The 16755-nt window shown below is 47.5% G+C and overlaps 1 long non-coding RNA gene across 1 annotated transcript, besides 3 other annotated features; it reads right to left on the bottom strand.

Moving 5' to 3' along the window:
- Positions 1-485: 485 nt before the first annotated feature.
- Positions 486-15610, bottom strand: LOC124902525 (uncharacterized). The gene is made up of 2 exons (XR_007062339.1): positions 15580-15610; positions 486-1006 (listed from the first exon to the last, which is right to left on the bottom strand). It is a non-coding gene; the product is annotated as an uncharacterized LOC124902525 (long non-coding RNA).
- Positions 1912-2436: an enhancer, noted in NCBI's record as "OCT4-NANOG hESC enhancer chr10:133823019-133823543 (GRCh37/hg19 assembly coordinates)". NCBI's record gives its function as "activates a minimal SCP1, AML or CMV promoter by ChIP-STARR-seq in primed H9 embryonic stem cells {active_cell/tissue: H9 hESC(primed)}" and the evidence as "EXISTENCE:reporter gene assay evidence [ECO:0000049][PMID:30033119]".
- Positions 4547-5071: an enhancer, noted in NCBI's record as "OCT4-NANOG-H3K27ac-H3K4me1 hESC enhancer chr10:133820384-133820908 (GRCh37/hg19 assembly coordinates)". NCBI's record gives its function as "activates a minimal SCP1, AML or CMV promoter by ChIP-STARR-seq in primed H9 embryonic stem cells {active_cell/tissue: H9 hESC(primed)}" and the evidence as "EXISTENCE:reporter gene assay evidence [ECO:0000049][PMID:30033119]".
- Positions 14935-15921: an enhancer, noted in NCBI's record as "H3K27ac-H3K4me1 hESC enhancer chr10:133809534-133810520 (GRCh37/hg19 assembly coordinates)". NCBI's record gives its function as "activates a minimal SCP1, AML or CMV promoter by ChIP-STARR-seq in naive H9 embryonic stem cells {active_cell/tissue: H9 hESC(naive)}" and the evidence as "EXISTENCE:reporter gene assay evidence [ECO:0000049][PMID:30033119]".

Here is a 16755-nt window from a genome sequence, read left to right as displayed (position 1 = left end):
CTGGGCATGGTGGCATGTGCCTGTAATCCCAGCTACTCAGGAGGCTGAGACAGGAGAATCACTTGAGCCCAGGAGGCAGAGGTTGCAGTGAGCCGAGATTGCGCCATTGCACTCCAGCCTGGGCAACAAGAGTGAAACTCCATCTCAAAAAACACACACACACACATAGACACACACATTCTACTGTTCTTACACACTTTGCATGTAAAGCTGTTTCTAGCAGTCTTAATTGCATGTTATAATGGTGAATTTTAATGTAAGACCTGGTAAGTTATGTTCTGATACAGTTTGGCTATTTCCAGCACAGCCAGGGGTGTGGCCAACTCCACAAGTCCCCAGACCTTACCTAGCTGGAAAGCAGGCAAGTCCAACAATTTTCAAAACCCAAAGAAACAGTTTATGACCTTAAAGCATTTAGCAAACCTAATATTTGAACATATTTTAGACCATACGTTTACATTTTGAAGACATTTGTATTTTACCAATAATCTTTAAAACCATTTTTATTTCCCAAAGATTGCTAAAGTCACATGAACTAAAGGGCATTACACTTTCTACTTTTCTGACAAAATATTGGATTTAAGCTCTTATTATTATTAAACCAATTAATTTAAAACTTCACAGAGGAGATTCACCAGTTTGCAGAGAGAGAAAGAGGCCAGAGACTGACGTAAGAAATTCTTCCCCTTTTGCCGGCGTGCCAGGTTTCTGGGTTCTCTCTCCCTGAGCGGCCCTGGCGGCCCTGCCTGACTGTATGCAAACAAACACAAGGCCATGAATTCAGAATATTCACAGGTATAGTTGACACTTTTTGAAGAAACTCAGCAGAGAAAGAAAGATAACTCAAATCCTATTTGTAAGAATATACTCAACACGCTTAAAGTATCAGGAAGCCTAAAATCCCCAAAGTTCATTTAAGGATAAAAAGCTGGTGTACTCCATTAATTCCTGCATCCCGACAAAGGTAGCTTGGGAATTCCAGATAAATGGAAGGAATGATGACTTCCTAAAAATGCAGAAGAAACAAAATAACTATTCACAGAACGGAATAAAAGTCTTCACTCACATGGTTTTATATATGTAGATACACAAGCAAAGCCAGAGAATAAACAGCAAATGAATGAAAACTAAAAGCAAAAACAAATAAAAAACCAATCCTAAATTTTCATACTAAATGTGCCCTGGAGGCTATGGTTACGCAGGGCCCCAAAACACCCACATAATGAATATTCTATTCCTGATACATGATGTAATGTCCTTAAGTTTCCTAATATCATTAGACCTTCTGCGCAATCCAGAAATCCACTTTAGGCACATGACTGAGAAGTACTCCAGCACTACCCACACTAAACAAGAAACAATTTTCCAAAGTGTGAAGCATGTATGTGAAAATTGGCTTCACACTAAATCCAGCTTCATGCTTAACTATATTTTAAAAAAAAAAATTGCCAAGCTGCTGATGCATTTTACAATACTTCTTATTTTACTTTAATCAAGACTAAGAGCTTTAACTATGAAAATGTTAATTAGCCAAATGTCTCCAATTCTCTGTCACGTTTTAAAGATTTTATTATTTAAACTTTTTCCACATCTTTCTCCTGTACTTAATGGTTCCTTACTACATTGTTTCAGAAATAACCTTTTCAAATCTGTAATTTGAACTTTTAGATAACTTCTGAATTAGACAAAATTATTCTTTTTTTTTTAAACTAATAACGTAACCCTTTCTGGTACATTTTGTATACAGAATTACATGTTAACTAGAATTTTATCCTTAGTAACCTAAAACTTCAGTGAAATCCTAAAAAGCAGGAAATCCTGAACTATCAGATATTGGCATTTATAGATAAGAACAATTTCACAATTTCAGAAATATATTTCCCCATATCACAACCCTTTCTTTATTGGAAATGACCCAGATATTGAATGAGCATCAAAAATAACTTTAAGATTTTAATTTACACAAAAAGTTTACCTAAAACATTTATTTCATTCACTGTACTTAATTTTTACTTTCAACAAAGGAGACAGGAGATGTCAGTCAACATATTCAAAATGAACATTGGTTTGGTCCAGAAAGGTGGGAAAACTGGAGGCAGCAGGGAGGAGGCTTAGGGGTTTTTAGATCACAGGTGGGAGACAAACAGTTGCATTCTTCTGCGTTTCTGATTAGCCTTTCCAAAGGAAGCAATCAGATATTCATCGATCTCAGTGAGACTCTGAAAAGAATGGGGGGCAGGCTTGCCCCAAGCAGCTGCCAGCTGGAATTAATGCTGACATTTTAATCCAGCAACGACAAACATCAAATTCAGACAACATGTATGCTGACAATTTTGAAGGCATTTCTATTTTTATTCCACCACTAATTTTAAAGCTAGCTTGTTTACTAAAGTTATACTTGAGTCATGTGAAGTTGAAAATTGCTTAGACTTATTTACTTAATTTATGAGCACTCTTTTACTTATAAGCCAATTTGGTAGACACAACATATAACAATAAGTGTACATACAAATAAACACATCTAGACGTGTATACACACACATAAATGAAGACCCAATAGCTTGGAACCTTAGCTGTGAGATTGCAGTACAAGCTCGCCGGTTTGACTTTGCCCCAGTAGGTAATCCAAGGAAGGCTGGGAACCAAAATTTCGGGTAAAGCAGTCTCAACAAAGGCTAAACCTCCCGAGACTCCAAGGAGCACTGGAGCCAAACAGTACCAAAGGAGGGTGTCACGTTAACCAGGCCCCCTGCTTAGAACAGCAGCACAAAACCCTGGATCCATGCGACGCCATCCCACTTTCCCATTAGACAGTAAACTTCAGATTCTAAAAAATTTGGGGGCCAAGCAGCATTGCAACCGTGAGAGAAAATTCTAAGGAGGGCTTATTACTAGACCTCAGAACCTCTGCTGAGAATGTCCTCTTTGAAGAGCTTGAGGTCCGGAGGATCCCCTGAAGTGTCCTTCTGTGGGGTCCAATCTTAGAGCTCCAAACGTCTCTGGCCTTAGGTGGGCACCGGTGCCGCTCTGCATGTGTTCCCTCCAGCGCCCACTATGAGCTTTCCTTTGGTACCTGAGTGTAATCCCTGACTTTTAGCATCCTTATAATTTCATAAGGCCATGCTTTTCCCTGCTTCCTGTTCCATGAACTTTAAAGACAGGAACTGGAGGCTGGGTGGGTTTCCTTTGCCCTTTGCCAGTAGAATAGGGGAAGGGACGAATTTAGCATAAGAAAGGTTTTTTTTTTTTTTTTTTTTGAGACAGAGTCTTGCTCTGTTGCCCAGGCTGGAGTGCAGTGGCGAGATCTCCCCACAACCTCTGCCTCCCAGGTTCAAGCGATTTTCCCGCCTTAGCCTCCTGAGTAGCTGGGATTACAGGCACCCACCACTACACCCAGCTAATTTTTGTATTTTTAGTAGAAACGGGGGTTTCACTATGTTGGGCAGGCTGGTCTCGAACTCCCGACCTCGTGATCCGCCCACCTCAGCCTCCCAGAGTGCGGGGATTACAGGCATGAACCACCCTGCCCAGCCAAGAAAAGGTTTAAGTTGCCTGAAACGCGTGCGAGTTTGCTCCGAGCTGCGTCACACTTAGGGATCAGGGCCACGTGTCGAAAATATATATATATATATATATATATATATATATAAAGGCCTTTCCCCTTTGGGGCAACTATTCCCATTCGTTCCTAGGCCCTCAGGCAATACCGGGGTGTGACCCCAGCCAATTGCCCTCAATTCCAAGGAGCTACTAGGCAACAGCCACTGAAAGACTGAAAAAGAGAGGAAAAAAAATGAAAAAGACCCTGGTCCCTTAAGCAAATTGGTGGTGGCAGTCAGGTTTCTCCACATGGAAGCCCCTTAGTTTCACTGGCCACCGCCGGAAACCTACAGTTGCTTCCATGTTTAGGCGCTACCTACACATGGGTCCCAGTTTGGAAAGGAAAAGAGAGAGAAAGAGATTGCCCTGGATGAAGCAGAAAGGAAAAGGAGAAACAAACTTTGGGCTCACCTCTTTCTCCTGGCTGGCTTGCCAAAATATGTTAACGGTGGAGCGCGTCCAGGTTCTTGGTGTCTTGAACAAAGAATTGGACAACACGCACAAACAAAGCAAGGAAGAGATGAAGGGATCTATTGAAAATGAAAGTGCACTCCACAGGGTAGGAGCCGGCCCGAGCATAGGGGCTCAAGGGCCCCGTTACAGAGTTTTTGTGTTTAAATACCCTCTACTTGGGGTATGTCCTATGTAAATGAAGAGGATGAAGTAAAGTTACAAAGTCGGTGTATAGCCCTATGGAGAGGATATTTCCTGTTATAGTCAAAGTGTGAATCAGCCTCATGCTTCCTGCCTGCAGACCCTATTTTCCTGTCTCAAGAGGACAGCTTCAGCCAGATAAGGTGGCTCACTCCTGTAATCCCAACACTTTGGGAGGCCGGGGCAGGCAGATCACTTGAGGCCAGTTCAAGACCAGCCTGGCCAACGTGGTGAAATCCCATCTCTACTAAAAATATAAAAATTAGCCGGGCGTGGTGGCGTGTGCCTGTAATTCCAGCTACTCAGGTGGCTGGGGCCGGAAAATCCCTTGAACCTGGGAGGCGGAGGTTGCAATGAGCCAAGATTGTGCCACCGCACTCCAGCCTGGGTGATAGAGTGAGACCCTGTCTCAAGAAGAACAAGAGGTGGGGACAGCTTTGACTCCCTATAATTTCATCCCTGAGCCAACCAATCAGCACTCCCGACTCACTGGCCCCCTACCCACCACATTGTCCTTAAACACTCTGATCCCTGAGTTTTCGGAGAGACTCATTTGAGTAACAATAAAACTCCTGTCTCCCACATAGCTGGCTCTGGGTAAATTACTCTTTCTGTATTGCAATTCCCCTGTCTTGACAAATCAGCTGTCTAGGCAGTGGGCAAGGTGAAATCCACTGGGCAGTTACAGCAGGTGTTACAGGAAAGCAGTCCCAATCCAGACTCCAAGAAAAGGTTCTTGGATCTCATGCAAGAATGAATTCAGGCCAAGTCCACAGTGCAAAGCAAAAGCAAGTTTGTTAAGAAAGTGAGGACTAAGCTCTGATTTTCTCATCTTGCCCAAATTCCTGTCTCAGGGGTCTGGGGAGTCATGCCCTACAAACCATAAATTCTCATCAGATGGGTTTTATTTAATCCTATATATTGTGACTTACTTTCCAACCTGACCCTGGCATAATTTTATGAGACAAGGAAGAAAATCAAAATATTTAACCCCAAAACATGTTTCTCTGCCATATCTTGAGATGGCCCTACAAAGCTGTCCTTCGTGGGGGAAAATGTGCAACTGTGAAGAATCTCTAGAGACACAGCCAGATCTTTTCTTTCCAGGCCCTCCCAATCCTAAAGAGGTTAACTAAGAGTCTAACACCTTTTGAACATCTGAATAGGAAAAAATTGTCATCTATTGTCTCTAAGGGCAGCCACTATGAGACTTCAAAAGAACCTTGGTCTCCACAATCTTTTATCTTAACCTGAATATTTCCTTTCTATGGTTCCCAGGTCTTTAGAGAAACTCAACCAATTGTCAACCAGAAAATGTTTAAATTTACCTATAGCCTGGAAGTGCCCTCTCCCACCCCCACCCCCACCCCCTCCCACCCCCACACCCACCCCCACCCCCACTTAGAGTGGTCCCGCCTTTCTGGACCAAACCAATGTATTTCTTAAATGTATTTGATTAATGTCTCATGCCCCCCCCACCCCACCCCACCCCCCGCTCCATAGAAGATATAAAACCAGGCTGTACCCCGACAACCTGGGGTGCAGGTTCTCAGGACCTCCTGAGGGCTGTGTCATGGGCCATGGTCACTCACGTTTGGGTCAGAATAAATCTCTTCAAATATATTACAGAGTTTGACTCTTTGTTGACAAAAGTGGTGAAGGAACAGATACTCCATAGACAGAGTAGGGTGTTCCCAAAAGTAAGAGGAGGAATGTGTCCACCCACAGTACAATACTTGTTTATACACACGATAAAAAAAGATCATGGGGAGATGTGCTCTGCTACGAGGGTTTGTGATGAAGAGTTACTGTTCTTAATTACTATATTTTGCAAGAATCGATATTATCTTTAAAGCAAAATTAGGACTGCTTCTGTTCTCAAGATATTGGGATATCAGGACACTCTTAAGTCTGGATCTGTTTAGTAAATGTTGTCAATCTTTTCCCTTAACCAGAAACATCTAGAGGCTGGGAATACCTAACTTTCCGGCACTACAGCCCAGCAAGCCCCAGCCTCCTTTCCCAGCCCTCACTCAAGATGGAGATGCTCTGGTTTGAACCCCCCAACATGAGGAGCCCCCTCCCAGGGAAGGAGGCTCAGAAGTGGGAACTGTGGCCCCCACTGCCATCCTCAGCCTCTGTCCTCCTCTCAGTGCCTTGGGGCTCAGGTGGACTAAACGGACTAAACGGGGCCTACAGCACCCCAGTGTAACGGCCCAAGGGTTCACCTGGCCTGCTGCCTAGACAGAGCCGATTTACCAAGACAGGGGAATTGCAACAGAGAAAGGGTAATTCACACAGAGCCAGCTGTGCAGGAGACCAGCGTTTCATTATCACTCAAATTGGTCTCCCCGAGCATTCAGGGAGCAGAGTTTTTAAGGACAACTTGGTGGGTGGGGGGAAGCCAGTGTGCCAGGAGTGTGATTGGTCAGAGATGAAGTCACAGAGAGTTGGAGCTGTCTTCTTGTGCTGAGTCACTTCCTGGGTGGGGGCCATAAGAGCAGATGAGCCAGTTTATGGATCTGGGTGGTACCAGCTGATCCATCAAGTACAGGTTCTGGACAATATCTCAAGGGCTGATCTTAGGAGCAGTTTAGGGAGGGTCAGAATCTTGTAGCCTCCTGCTGCGTGACTCCTAAACCATCATTTCTCATCTTGTGGCTAATGTTAGCCCTACAAAGGCCATCTAGTCCCCAGGCAAGAAGGAGGTCAGCTTTGGGAAAGGGCTGTTACCATCTTTGTTTAAACTATAAACTAAGTTCTTCCCAAAGTTAGTTCAGCCTACGCCCAGGAATGAACAAGGACAGCTTGGAGGTTAGGAGGAAGATGGAGTTGGTTACGTTAGATCTCTTTCACTGTCTCAGTCATAATTTAGCAAAGGTGGCTTCACCCCGAAAGAATAGCAAATCATACTCCTGGAGTAGCTTGGAGGGAATTTAGAGCAAATATATTAATTGTTTTTACCCCTAAGAGGGATCATAGCACACCATAAACGTATGACATTCTTGGCCAGGCACAGTGGCTCACACCTGTCATCCCAGCACTTTGGGAGGCAGAGGCAGAGGGGTTACCTGAGGTCAGGAGTTCGAGACCAACCTGGTCAACATGGTGAAACCTCATCTCTACTAAAAATACAAAAATTAGCCGGGCACGGCGATGCATGCCTGTAAGCCCAGCTACTCGGGAGGCTGAGGTAGGAGAATCTCTTGAACTCAGAAGGTGGAAGCTGCAGTGAGCCGAGATCGCGCCACTGCACTCCAGCCTGGGTGATAGAGCATGAGTTTGTCTAAAAAAAAAAAAAAAAAGGCTAAGGTGAATTGGCGCCTTATGCAGATGAGGGGATGCCCTGTGGCCACTCCAAGGCCCTCGCCCTCTTGGTGGAAGTGGGAGGGCTGTAGGGAGAATGGCCTTTGATCCTCTGTTACGGGGTGGGGAGATGTTTTTCCTTTTGATCCAGCGTTGAGAAGTCAGCACAAATTGGCCTCAGATTCCCTGCCCCCAGACCCTGGTGTTCTTCCTTGATTCAGCACGCATTGGCCTGAAGTCCCTGCCCCCAGACCCTGGTCTCCCGCTCCACTGTCACGTGCGTTGCTTTCTGTAATCCTCGGCAAACTCAGTGAAGTGGGTTTTAGCACTATCTGCATTTAACAGACGGGAAGAATAAGGCCCATGGGGTGGCCTTGGAAATACTGCACACACTCTCTGTACACTTCTCTCTTTCCTTTATCCCGTTCCGGCAGGACTGGGCTCTGTGCTCTGCCAGGAGTGATGCAGAGAGAGGGAGCAGAGGACCCACCAGCCTGCACATTTTCCAGATGCTTCTCCCGAAAGCCGAGGCTCAGGGAAAGGCAAAGAGGGTCTCAGGGCAAAGAGCATGCCCCGAGGATTGGGGGGTGTGCAGTAGCCCCTCCCAGATGGCAGCCAGGGATGGCAGATGCTGGAGCAGCCAGCTGAGGGTGCCTGGGGCCACCCGCACGGGGCAGCTCCATTCCCAGCCAAGCTTGGGGCAGCAGAGTCCAGGGGACCACAGGGCCACCCGATGGACGTCTGCCAGCAAGCTCTGAAGACCGATAGTCCATTCCCTCCCCAAGGAAGACCACAGCCCTGGGCACACCCCCAGGGAGGACCTTTCCTCCCACCAGCTGAGTGCAGAGGGGCCTCAGAGGCAGATCAAGTTGTTACACATGACAGGGGGCTATTTCCTGAGAGATAACACCTGGCAGCTGTGAGAGGATCAGGTGAGAATTCGCAACTCTGGTTCAGGGAAGGGAACAGAGGGCGGGGCTGTGGGGAAAAGGCGCTCACTAGGGGATGAAGAACTCAGCATCTCTTCTATGCAAGATAGTGTACCTTCCACGAGCTCCTTTATTTTTTTAGAGACAGGGTCTTGCTCTGTTGCCCATTCTGGAGTGCAGTGGCGAGATCATAGCTCCTGTAGCCGTGGCCTCCCAGGCTCAAGTGATCCTCCTGCCTCAGCTTCCTGAACAGCTAATTTTTTTTGTAGAGATGGGATCTCACTTTGTTGCCCAGGCTGTTCTTGAACTCCTGGCCTCAAGTGATCCTCCAGTGTTGGGAGTACAGGAGTGAGCCAGCATGCCTGGCCTTTTTCTTTCTTTTGAGGCATTAATGTTGTCGATGAAAAGAGTCGAACTCTGTAAAATATTTGAAGAGATTTATTCTGAGCCAAACATGAGTGACCATGGCCTGTGACACAGCCTCAGGAGGTCCTGAGAACATGTGTCCAAGGTGCTCGGGCGCAGCCTGGTTTTATACCTTCTACAGGGGCATGAGACACCAATCAAATACATTGGTTTGGTCCAGAAAGGTGGGATGACTCAAACGGGGGCTTCCAGGCCACAGGTGAGTTTAAACATTTTTTGGTTGACAATTGGTTGAGTTTGTCTAAAGACCTGGGACGGCTAGAAAGGGAATATTCAGGTTAAGATAAAAGATTGTGGAGACCAAGATTCTTCTGAAGTCTTCTAGTGACTGCCCTTAGAGACAATAGATGACAAATGTTTCCTATTCAGATGCTTAAAAGGTGCTAGACTCTTAATCCTTTTAGGATTGGGAGGGCCTGGAAGAAAAAGATCTAGCTATGTTACTAGAGATGCAACTTTTCCCCCACGGAGGACAGCTTTGCAGGGCCATTTCAAGACATGGCAAAGAAATATGTTTTGGGGTAAAATATTTTGATTTTCTCCCTTGTTTCATAAAATTATGCCAGAGTCAGGTTGGAAAGTAAGTCACAATATATAGGGTTAAATAAAACCCATCTGATGAGAATTTATGGTTCCCCAGACCCCTTAGATAGGCATTCGGGCAAGATAAAAAAATTAGAGCTTAGTCCTCAATGTCAATGAGCAAAAATGGTGATAGGAGAAGAGAGAATGTGCCCAGCTGGGCATCCTGGCCTCCCACCTCTGTGTGGGCAGGGAGGATGGCAGGTGTGCGCCTGCGTGGCTGGAGGCAGGACAGCCAGATAAGGTGCAGCCTTGGTGGTAGGTGGGGTATTTGCTAATTCCTGGATGTTGGGAGCAGACATGGGAGAGCTGGTGTCCAGAGCTGCCTTGCGGAAGAGTACACAGCCAGTGTCTCTTACCCTCTGAGCAAATTGCAGGGGTGACTTTTCCCAGCAGCTGTGCCAGATAATGCTGTTACTGGTGGAGGGTGTCCAGGTTCTTGGTGTTTTGAACAAAGAATTGGACAAAACACACAAAGCAACCAAAGAAAAGCAGATGTATCAAAACAAAAGCCCACTCCACAGAGTAGGAACAGGCCAAAGCAAGAGGCTCAAGATCACGGGTTACAGAATTTTCTGAGGTTTACATACCCTCTAGAGGTTTCCCATTGGTTACTTGGTTTACACGCTATGTAAATGAAGTAGCGGCCTGCAACCAGTCTGATTGGCTGAGGAAGGTGGCCAATCACAGGCTGAAGTGAAGTTACAAAGCTACACATGAAGACTTAGCCGGAGACCAGTCTAATTGGTTGAAGGAGGGGAGCAATCAGAGACACTTTCATTTTTCATCTGCAAAGCAGAAAAGTGAGGCTTGCAAAGGGAGTAGCCTCTGGTCCGTTTGTTACTTGGGTGTGGAGAGATGAGGGTTTTCCTTTTGATTCAGTTCTAGGTAGTCAGAGAGAATCGGCCTTAGGTTCCCTGCCTCCAGACCCTATTCTCCCTGCCTCAACGCTGCTCTCTCCTGGTGATCCTAAGCCTGAGTCCTGCCTGCACCTGGATGTTTATTCCATAGTCACCCCAGGCACGTGAGCCCCACTCAAAGCCTCCTTCCCTGCCTTCCTACCTCCCGCGGGCTCCTCTTCCTGTAGCTGTGTCTTGGCAAACAGCACGGCCCCCTCTTTAGTCACCTGAGCCAGCCTCATTCTGCCGGCAAGTTTGGCTGTTCTTCAGCTGAGTGTCGACGAAGAGAGTCGGACTCTGAAATATTTGAAGAGATTTATTGTGACCCAAATATGAGCGACCATGGCCAGTGACACAGCCCTCAGGAGGTCTTGAAAGCATGTGTCCAGCCAGGCACGGTGGCTCATGCCTGTAATCCCTGCACTTTGGGAGGCTGAGGAGGGTGGATCACCTGAGGTCAGAAGTTCGAGATCAGCCTGATCAAATATGATGAAACCCTATCTCTACTAAAAATACAAAAAATTAGCTGGGCATGGTGGCGGACGCCTATAATTCCAGCTACTCAGGAGGCTGAGGCAGGAGAATCGCTTGAACCCGGAAGGCGGAGGTTGCAGTGAGCCGAGATCATGCCACTGCACTCCAGCCTGGGCAACAGAGCAAAATTCTGTCTCAAAAAAAAAAAAAAAAAAAAAAAAAAAAGAAGCAGCAGCATGTGCCCAAGGTGGCCGGGGTGCAGCTTGGTTTTCTGGATCAGAGGCTACTCCTTTTGCAAGCCTCACTTTTCTGCTTTGCAGATGAAAAATGAAAGTGTCTCTGATTGCTCCCCTCCTGCAACCAATTAGACTGGTCTCAGGCTAAGTCTTCATGTGTAGCTTTGTAACTTGCAGCTTGGTTTTATACATTTTAGGGAAGCATAAGATATCAATCAAATACATTTAAGAAATACATTGGTTTGGTCCAGAAAGGCAAGATAGCTGGGGTGGGGTGGGGGGGGGTGGGGGGATGGGTGGGGGGGCGAGCTTCCAGGCTATAGGTAAATGTAAACATTTTCTGGTTGATAATTGGTTGAGTTTGTCTAAAGTCCTGGGATGGATAGAAAGGGAATGTTCAGGTTAAGATAAAAGATTGTGGAGACCAAGGTTCTTTTGAATCTCATAGTGGCTGCCCTTAGAGACGATAGATGACAAATGTTTCCTTTGCAGATTTTTTTTTTTTTTGAGATGGAGTGTCACTCCGTCACCCAGGCTGGAGTGCAGTGGCGTGATCTCAGCTCACAGCAACCTCTGCCTCGCAGGTTCAAGCCATTCTCCTATTCTCCTGCCTCAGCCGCCCGAGTAGCTGGGACTACAGGCGCGCACCACCATGCACAGCTAATTTTTGTATTTTTTAGTAGAGACAGGGTTTCACTATATTGGACAGGCTGGTCTTGAACTCCTGACCTCATGATCTGCCCACCTCTGCCTCCCAAAGTGCTGGGATTACAGGCATGAGCCACCGCGCCCGGCCCTATTCAGGTCTTTAAAAGGTGCTAGATTTTTAAATCTCTTCAGGATTGGGAGGGCCTGGAAGAAAAAAATGTAGCTATGTTACTAGATACTCCATTCTTTACAGATGTAGATTTTCCCCCACAAAGGACAACTTTGCAGGGCCATTTCAAGATATGGCAGAGAAACATGTTTTGGGATAAAATATTTTGATTTTCTTCTTTGTCTCGTAATGTTATACCAGAGTCAGCTTGGAAAGTAAGTCACAATATATAGGGTTAAATAAAACCCATCCCATGAGAACTTACGGTTTGTAGGGCATGACTCCCCAGACCCCTAAGATAGGAATTTGGGCAAGATAAAAAAATCAGAGCTTAGTCCTCATGAGTTACTGGTCATCAGGGCCTTCCCTACAAAGCCTGGCCTGGGCCCCCTCAGTGTACCCCAAAAGAGCTCCACCATTCTCCTTTGACCCAGGGAAAGGGCTCGGCTAGAAGCGCAGGGCTCTTGGAGACAGTGTCTCTGAGCTTGGAATGCGAGCTCTGCCACTCCAGACGCAGCCTGGGGGCTTCCACCGAGGGGCAAAGCTGTTGTGCCGGGCTGGCTTTTGCTGGGGCTCTTGCGGAGGCCAAGGCTCAGTCCTGCCAGCTCTCGGCTCCAGCCAGTGCTCTGTCTTCCACTTGCCCAGCCAGGGGCCCCGAGGGCTGTCACACTGGCATTTTCTGGGTCCCCTTGGAGGGACCACTCTTCCCACCCTCCTGCCCCTGCTTGGCCCCTCTAGCTGATCACTGATCCTGTCTGTTTTTGGTGACGCAACGCGAAATGAGGCCAGCACTTACAGCCATGAGGGCCTGTTTCCGAGTCCCAGTTCATGTGGCCATGGACTATCTGAGCCTCAGTCCCCTCCTGTGCGAGATAAGGAAAGCACACCTCCCCTCGCTGGCTATTAGGAGGTAACAACACAGGGCAGGAGTGTCAGGCACAGGCACCACCCACCAAGCACTGTAATTTGCCAGGCACCAAATGCAGTGCCCTCGTGAACTCACGGAATCATGGCAGCCTCAGAGGGCAGTGCTGTTGTGGTCACCCTCATTTTAAAGATGGGGACCTTCACAGAGGTGAGTCGCTTCTCCAAGTGACACAGCTTCTTAGTAGCAGAGCCCAGATACCAGCCCTAGCTGTCCCCTGCTTTCTGCTCCCCTGCTATCTGCAGACTCTCCCACTGCCACCTCACACAGTGGCAAAAGCCTGTGTTCTCTTCTCTACTCCCTGCTGACCTTTCCCCATCGCCACCACGTGTCAGCAAAACTGTGGACTTGTGCTTTGAAAGAGACAGAGCCGGGTGTAGCGGCTCATGCCTGTAATACCAACATTTCGGGAGGCCTAGGTGGGAGGATCACTTGAGGCCAGGAGTTTGAGATCAGCCTGGGCAATATAGTGAGAACTTGTTTCTACAAAAAATAAAAAATTAGCCAGGCCTGGTGGCACATGCCTGCAGTCCCAGCTCCTTGGGAAGCTGAGAAGAGGGGATCCCTTGAGCCCAGGAGGTCAGGGCTGCAGTGACCTGTGATTGCACCACTGCGCTCCAGCCTAGGAGACAGAGCAAGACCCTGTCTCTAAAAACTAAAAATAAAAAAATGAAAGAGACAGGGTCCACGGGACAGACGAGTGTTAGGCATGTTGGTCCCATGTCAGTGTGCAGTGAAATTGACAGGAGGCACTGGCTTTGGGCAGGGCTCCCGCACTAAGCCCAACAGACCAAACCCAAACAGGGTTGTTTGCGCTGAGTTTCCACACCACCAAGAGAAAATTGTTTGAGCTTCTAAGAAATCAGGAGAGAAGGAGATCGTAGCCAAATCCCCAAACAGGCCAGTTTCAGCTAGCACAGTAGGGAAGCCCTCTGCTTAAACCTTTAACTGTGAAAAGACCAATCAGCTTTCTGTTCTGGTTTCTGCTTTCCTCGGCCCTTTTCTCTATTTTATCGAACGAGGTGTTGCCCATTCTAGAAGAGCAAACGCAAGCCAATGAAGGCCTCTAAACTAGATCTGCTGTAACTCTGTCTTCTGACACTACCTTGACTGGTTATTCCAGCCAGAACATTCTGCAATCTCTCACGGAGGAGCAACGGAGCTATTGCTTCATGTACCCAAGGACAAATAAACACGCCCGCCCAGCACTGCTGGGATTCCGGCCTGGGGGATCACGTCTAGCCTCCGGCAGGAATGTGACTTGAATCTAGTGGCTGCTTCCTGTTTTGAAGGTTTTCCAGCAAGCAGTCCAGCCTCTTTTCAAAGATCACCCTCTGCTTTCCACTCACCAGCAAAGTACAAGTACACACTCGAGACATGTTTGTGTGCACACTGTTTACAATGCGGAATATTTCATCATACCAACTCCTAACAATAGCCCCAGCATAGTACAAATATCATTGTGAATTCATAGAAAAGTGTTTTCCTGCAAGAGGGAGGGAGACAGATCAGTCTGCAGGCGCACAGCTGGGTGCCACAGAGGTGGAAGAATTACCCCTCCAGCGCCCGCCCCCTGATGGTCCCCTGTGCATATAGTGTCACTGATGTTTGAAGGTAACAGAAGAATTACATTCATTTGAATAAGCCCCCACCCACTTTTGCAGCTTTGCGAGTTATTAATAGAAGAGAAACAAATCACTTGTATTGTTCCTTCCCCCAGTGTTCTTCCCCACCCCACACCCACCACCGGGTGAAAATCTGGCCCCGTTTTCATGCCCATTTTCGATTTGGTCTCACTGAAGTAATTTTTGTGTCCTGGCCGGTGTAACCATCAAAACTCCCAACTTTACTCTGAGTTGAAATGCCTCCTGCTCCAGCCTGGGCTCTGCCCACTTCCTCTCCAGTTGTAGCTCCTGACCCTCTGGGGACAGCCCAAAGGCCAGCGGCAAGGGCCGGGGGTCTTTGCTGCCTACACACTGCTTGGGCTCCCAGGTGACCAAAGCTGACTGTCCCTCTTGGGCCACTTTTTCGGGGTCTGGAGTCTCTCTGCCTTCGGGTGAATACTTCCAGCCTCCTTCAGTTTCACTCTTCCAGGTCCCCACTTCAGGCAGATTCTAGACAAGCCCAGCCCCACTCCCCTTCACATGGGGTCCCCCTGGGTCCCAGAAGCCAGGTCCTTGACCTGCCTGCAAAGGTGCAGCTTCCCGCTCTGCTCAGCAACCTTTCATTTAGAGGGGCAGGCAGTGTGATCCCAGCTCTGCCCTCTCTGTGTGCCAGGACACGAGGACATGTTTGGGTGGTACCAGGCTGGGGAAATGTAGCAGTCAACAAGTGTCCACTTGAGCTGGTGGCCATGAATTTAAAATGAAACCAATCCACATGGCTGTGTCTCCTCTCTTTCCACTCCTGGCAGCTTGGGTGCAGGCCCGGTGCCCAGCTGGGCTTGGCCAACTGGGTGAGAGGGACAAGGCAGCTGAGGGTGCACTCCAGGGAATGAGCAGATGGAGCTGGACTAAGGCGTGAGGAGCTACAGGCAGCGAGGGGCCGTGGAGGGGAAGCAGGCAGGACCGAGACCCCTGAGCTGCCAGTTCCCAGCAGTGAGCACAGCCGGAGAGGAGGAAGGGCTTCATTGCTTCAGCATGACGTCCCTGCGGCTGCTAAGGCTGCGCGTCTTTTCAGTTCATTGGCCATTTCTCTGTTTTCATGAGGTGCCAGTTCTTTTTCGACTTACCAGATTGTACTGCTGGGGCCGGGTATGGTGGCTCACGCCTGTCATCCCAGTGCTTTGGGAGGCTGAGGCAGGTGGATCACTTGGCTCAGGAGTTTGAGACCAGCCTGGGCAAAATGGTGGGACCCTGTCTCTACAAAAAAAAAAAAAGAAAGAAAGAAAGAAAAAAAAATTAGCTGGGCACAGAGGGGTGCACCTGTAGTCCCAACTACTCAGGTAGCTGAGGTGGGATGGCTGCTTGAGCCCAGGAGAACGAGGTTGCAGTGAGCTGAGATCACACCACTGCATTCCAGCCTGGGCGACAGAACCAGACCCTGTCTCAAAAACAAACAAAAAAAAAGATTGTGTTGTTTGTACATTTACTGTGATTTTTAGATCCATTTGCATATTCCGTTACTAATCCTTTGCCTATTATGTGGGTGGTGGATATCTTTTCAGTTCAGTCATGGAGTGAATGTACAAAAATCCATTTTACCTCAATAAAACGGATGCGCCACTCTGTAAAAAAAGAACAGTATAATTCCTGCCTGCATGAGTCCTGGACAGTGTTAAACGGGTCATTCAATGGCAAGTGCTCAGAACATTGTGGGGCCCAGATAAGGCAAAGGAGAAGCTGAGCTGTCTTTATGATCACCGTTATGATCAGTTTTGTCCTTTAAGAACACGCTATGTCTTATAATCCTTAGTAATGGCTTCTTTTTCTGTTTTTAGAGAAGACCCGGTCAGCTTGGGTGCAGTCCTGGGTAGGATCTGGGGGCCCTGAATAGTGTCTGTTATATTTTAACATAAAGTTTTATGATTTTCTTTGTACGTGTCTTGAGTCTTGAACATTTTTCTTTTTTTGAGACAGGGGTCTCACTCTCTCACTCTGTTGCCCAGGCTGGAGTGCAGTGGTACGATCTTGGCTCACTGCAGCCTCGACCTCCCAGGCTCAGGTGATCCTCTGACCTCGGCCTCCAGGTAGCTGGGACCACAGGCACCTGCCACTATGCCCACCTAATTTTTTGTATAGATGAGTTTTTGCCACGTTGCCTAGGCTGGTCTCGAACTCCTGGCCTCAAGGGATCTTCCCACCTCAGCCTCCCAAATCTTTTTTTAAAATTAAAAAAACTTTTATTTTTTACTTTTTTAAGAGATGAGGTCTCTTTATATTGTCCAGGCTGGTTTCAAACTCCTGGG

The sequence above is a fragment of the Homo sapiens genome, chromosome 10 (genome assembly GCF_000001405.40).
Source record: "Homo sapiens chromosome 10, GRCh38.p14 Primary Assembly".
Taxonomy (NCBI): domain Eukaryota; kingdom Metazoa; phylum Chordata; class Mammalia; order Primates; family Hominidae; genus Homo; species Homo sapiens.
The sequence above is the reverse complement of the archived record's forward strand: the minus strand, read 5'-3'. Positions and strand labels throughout refer to the sequence as shown.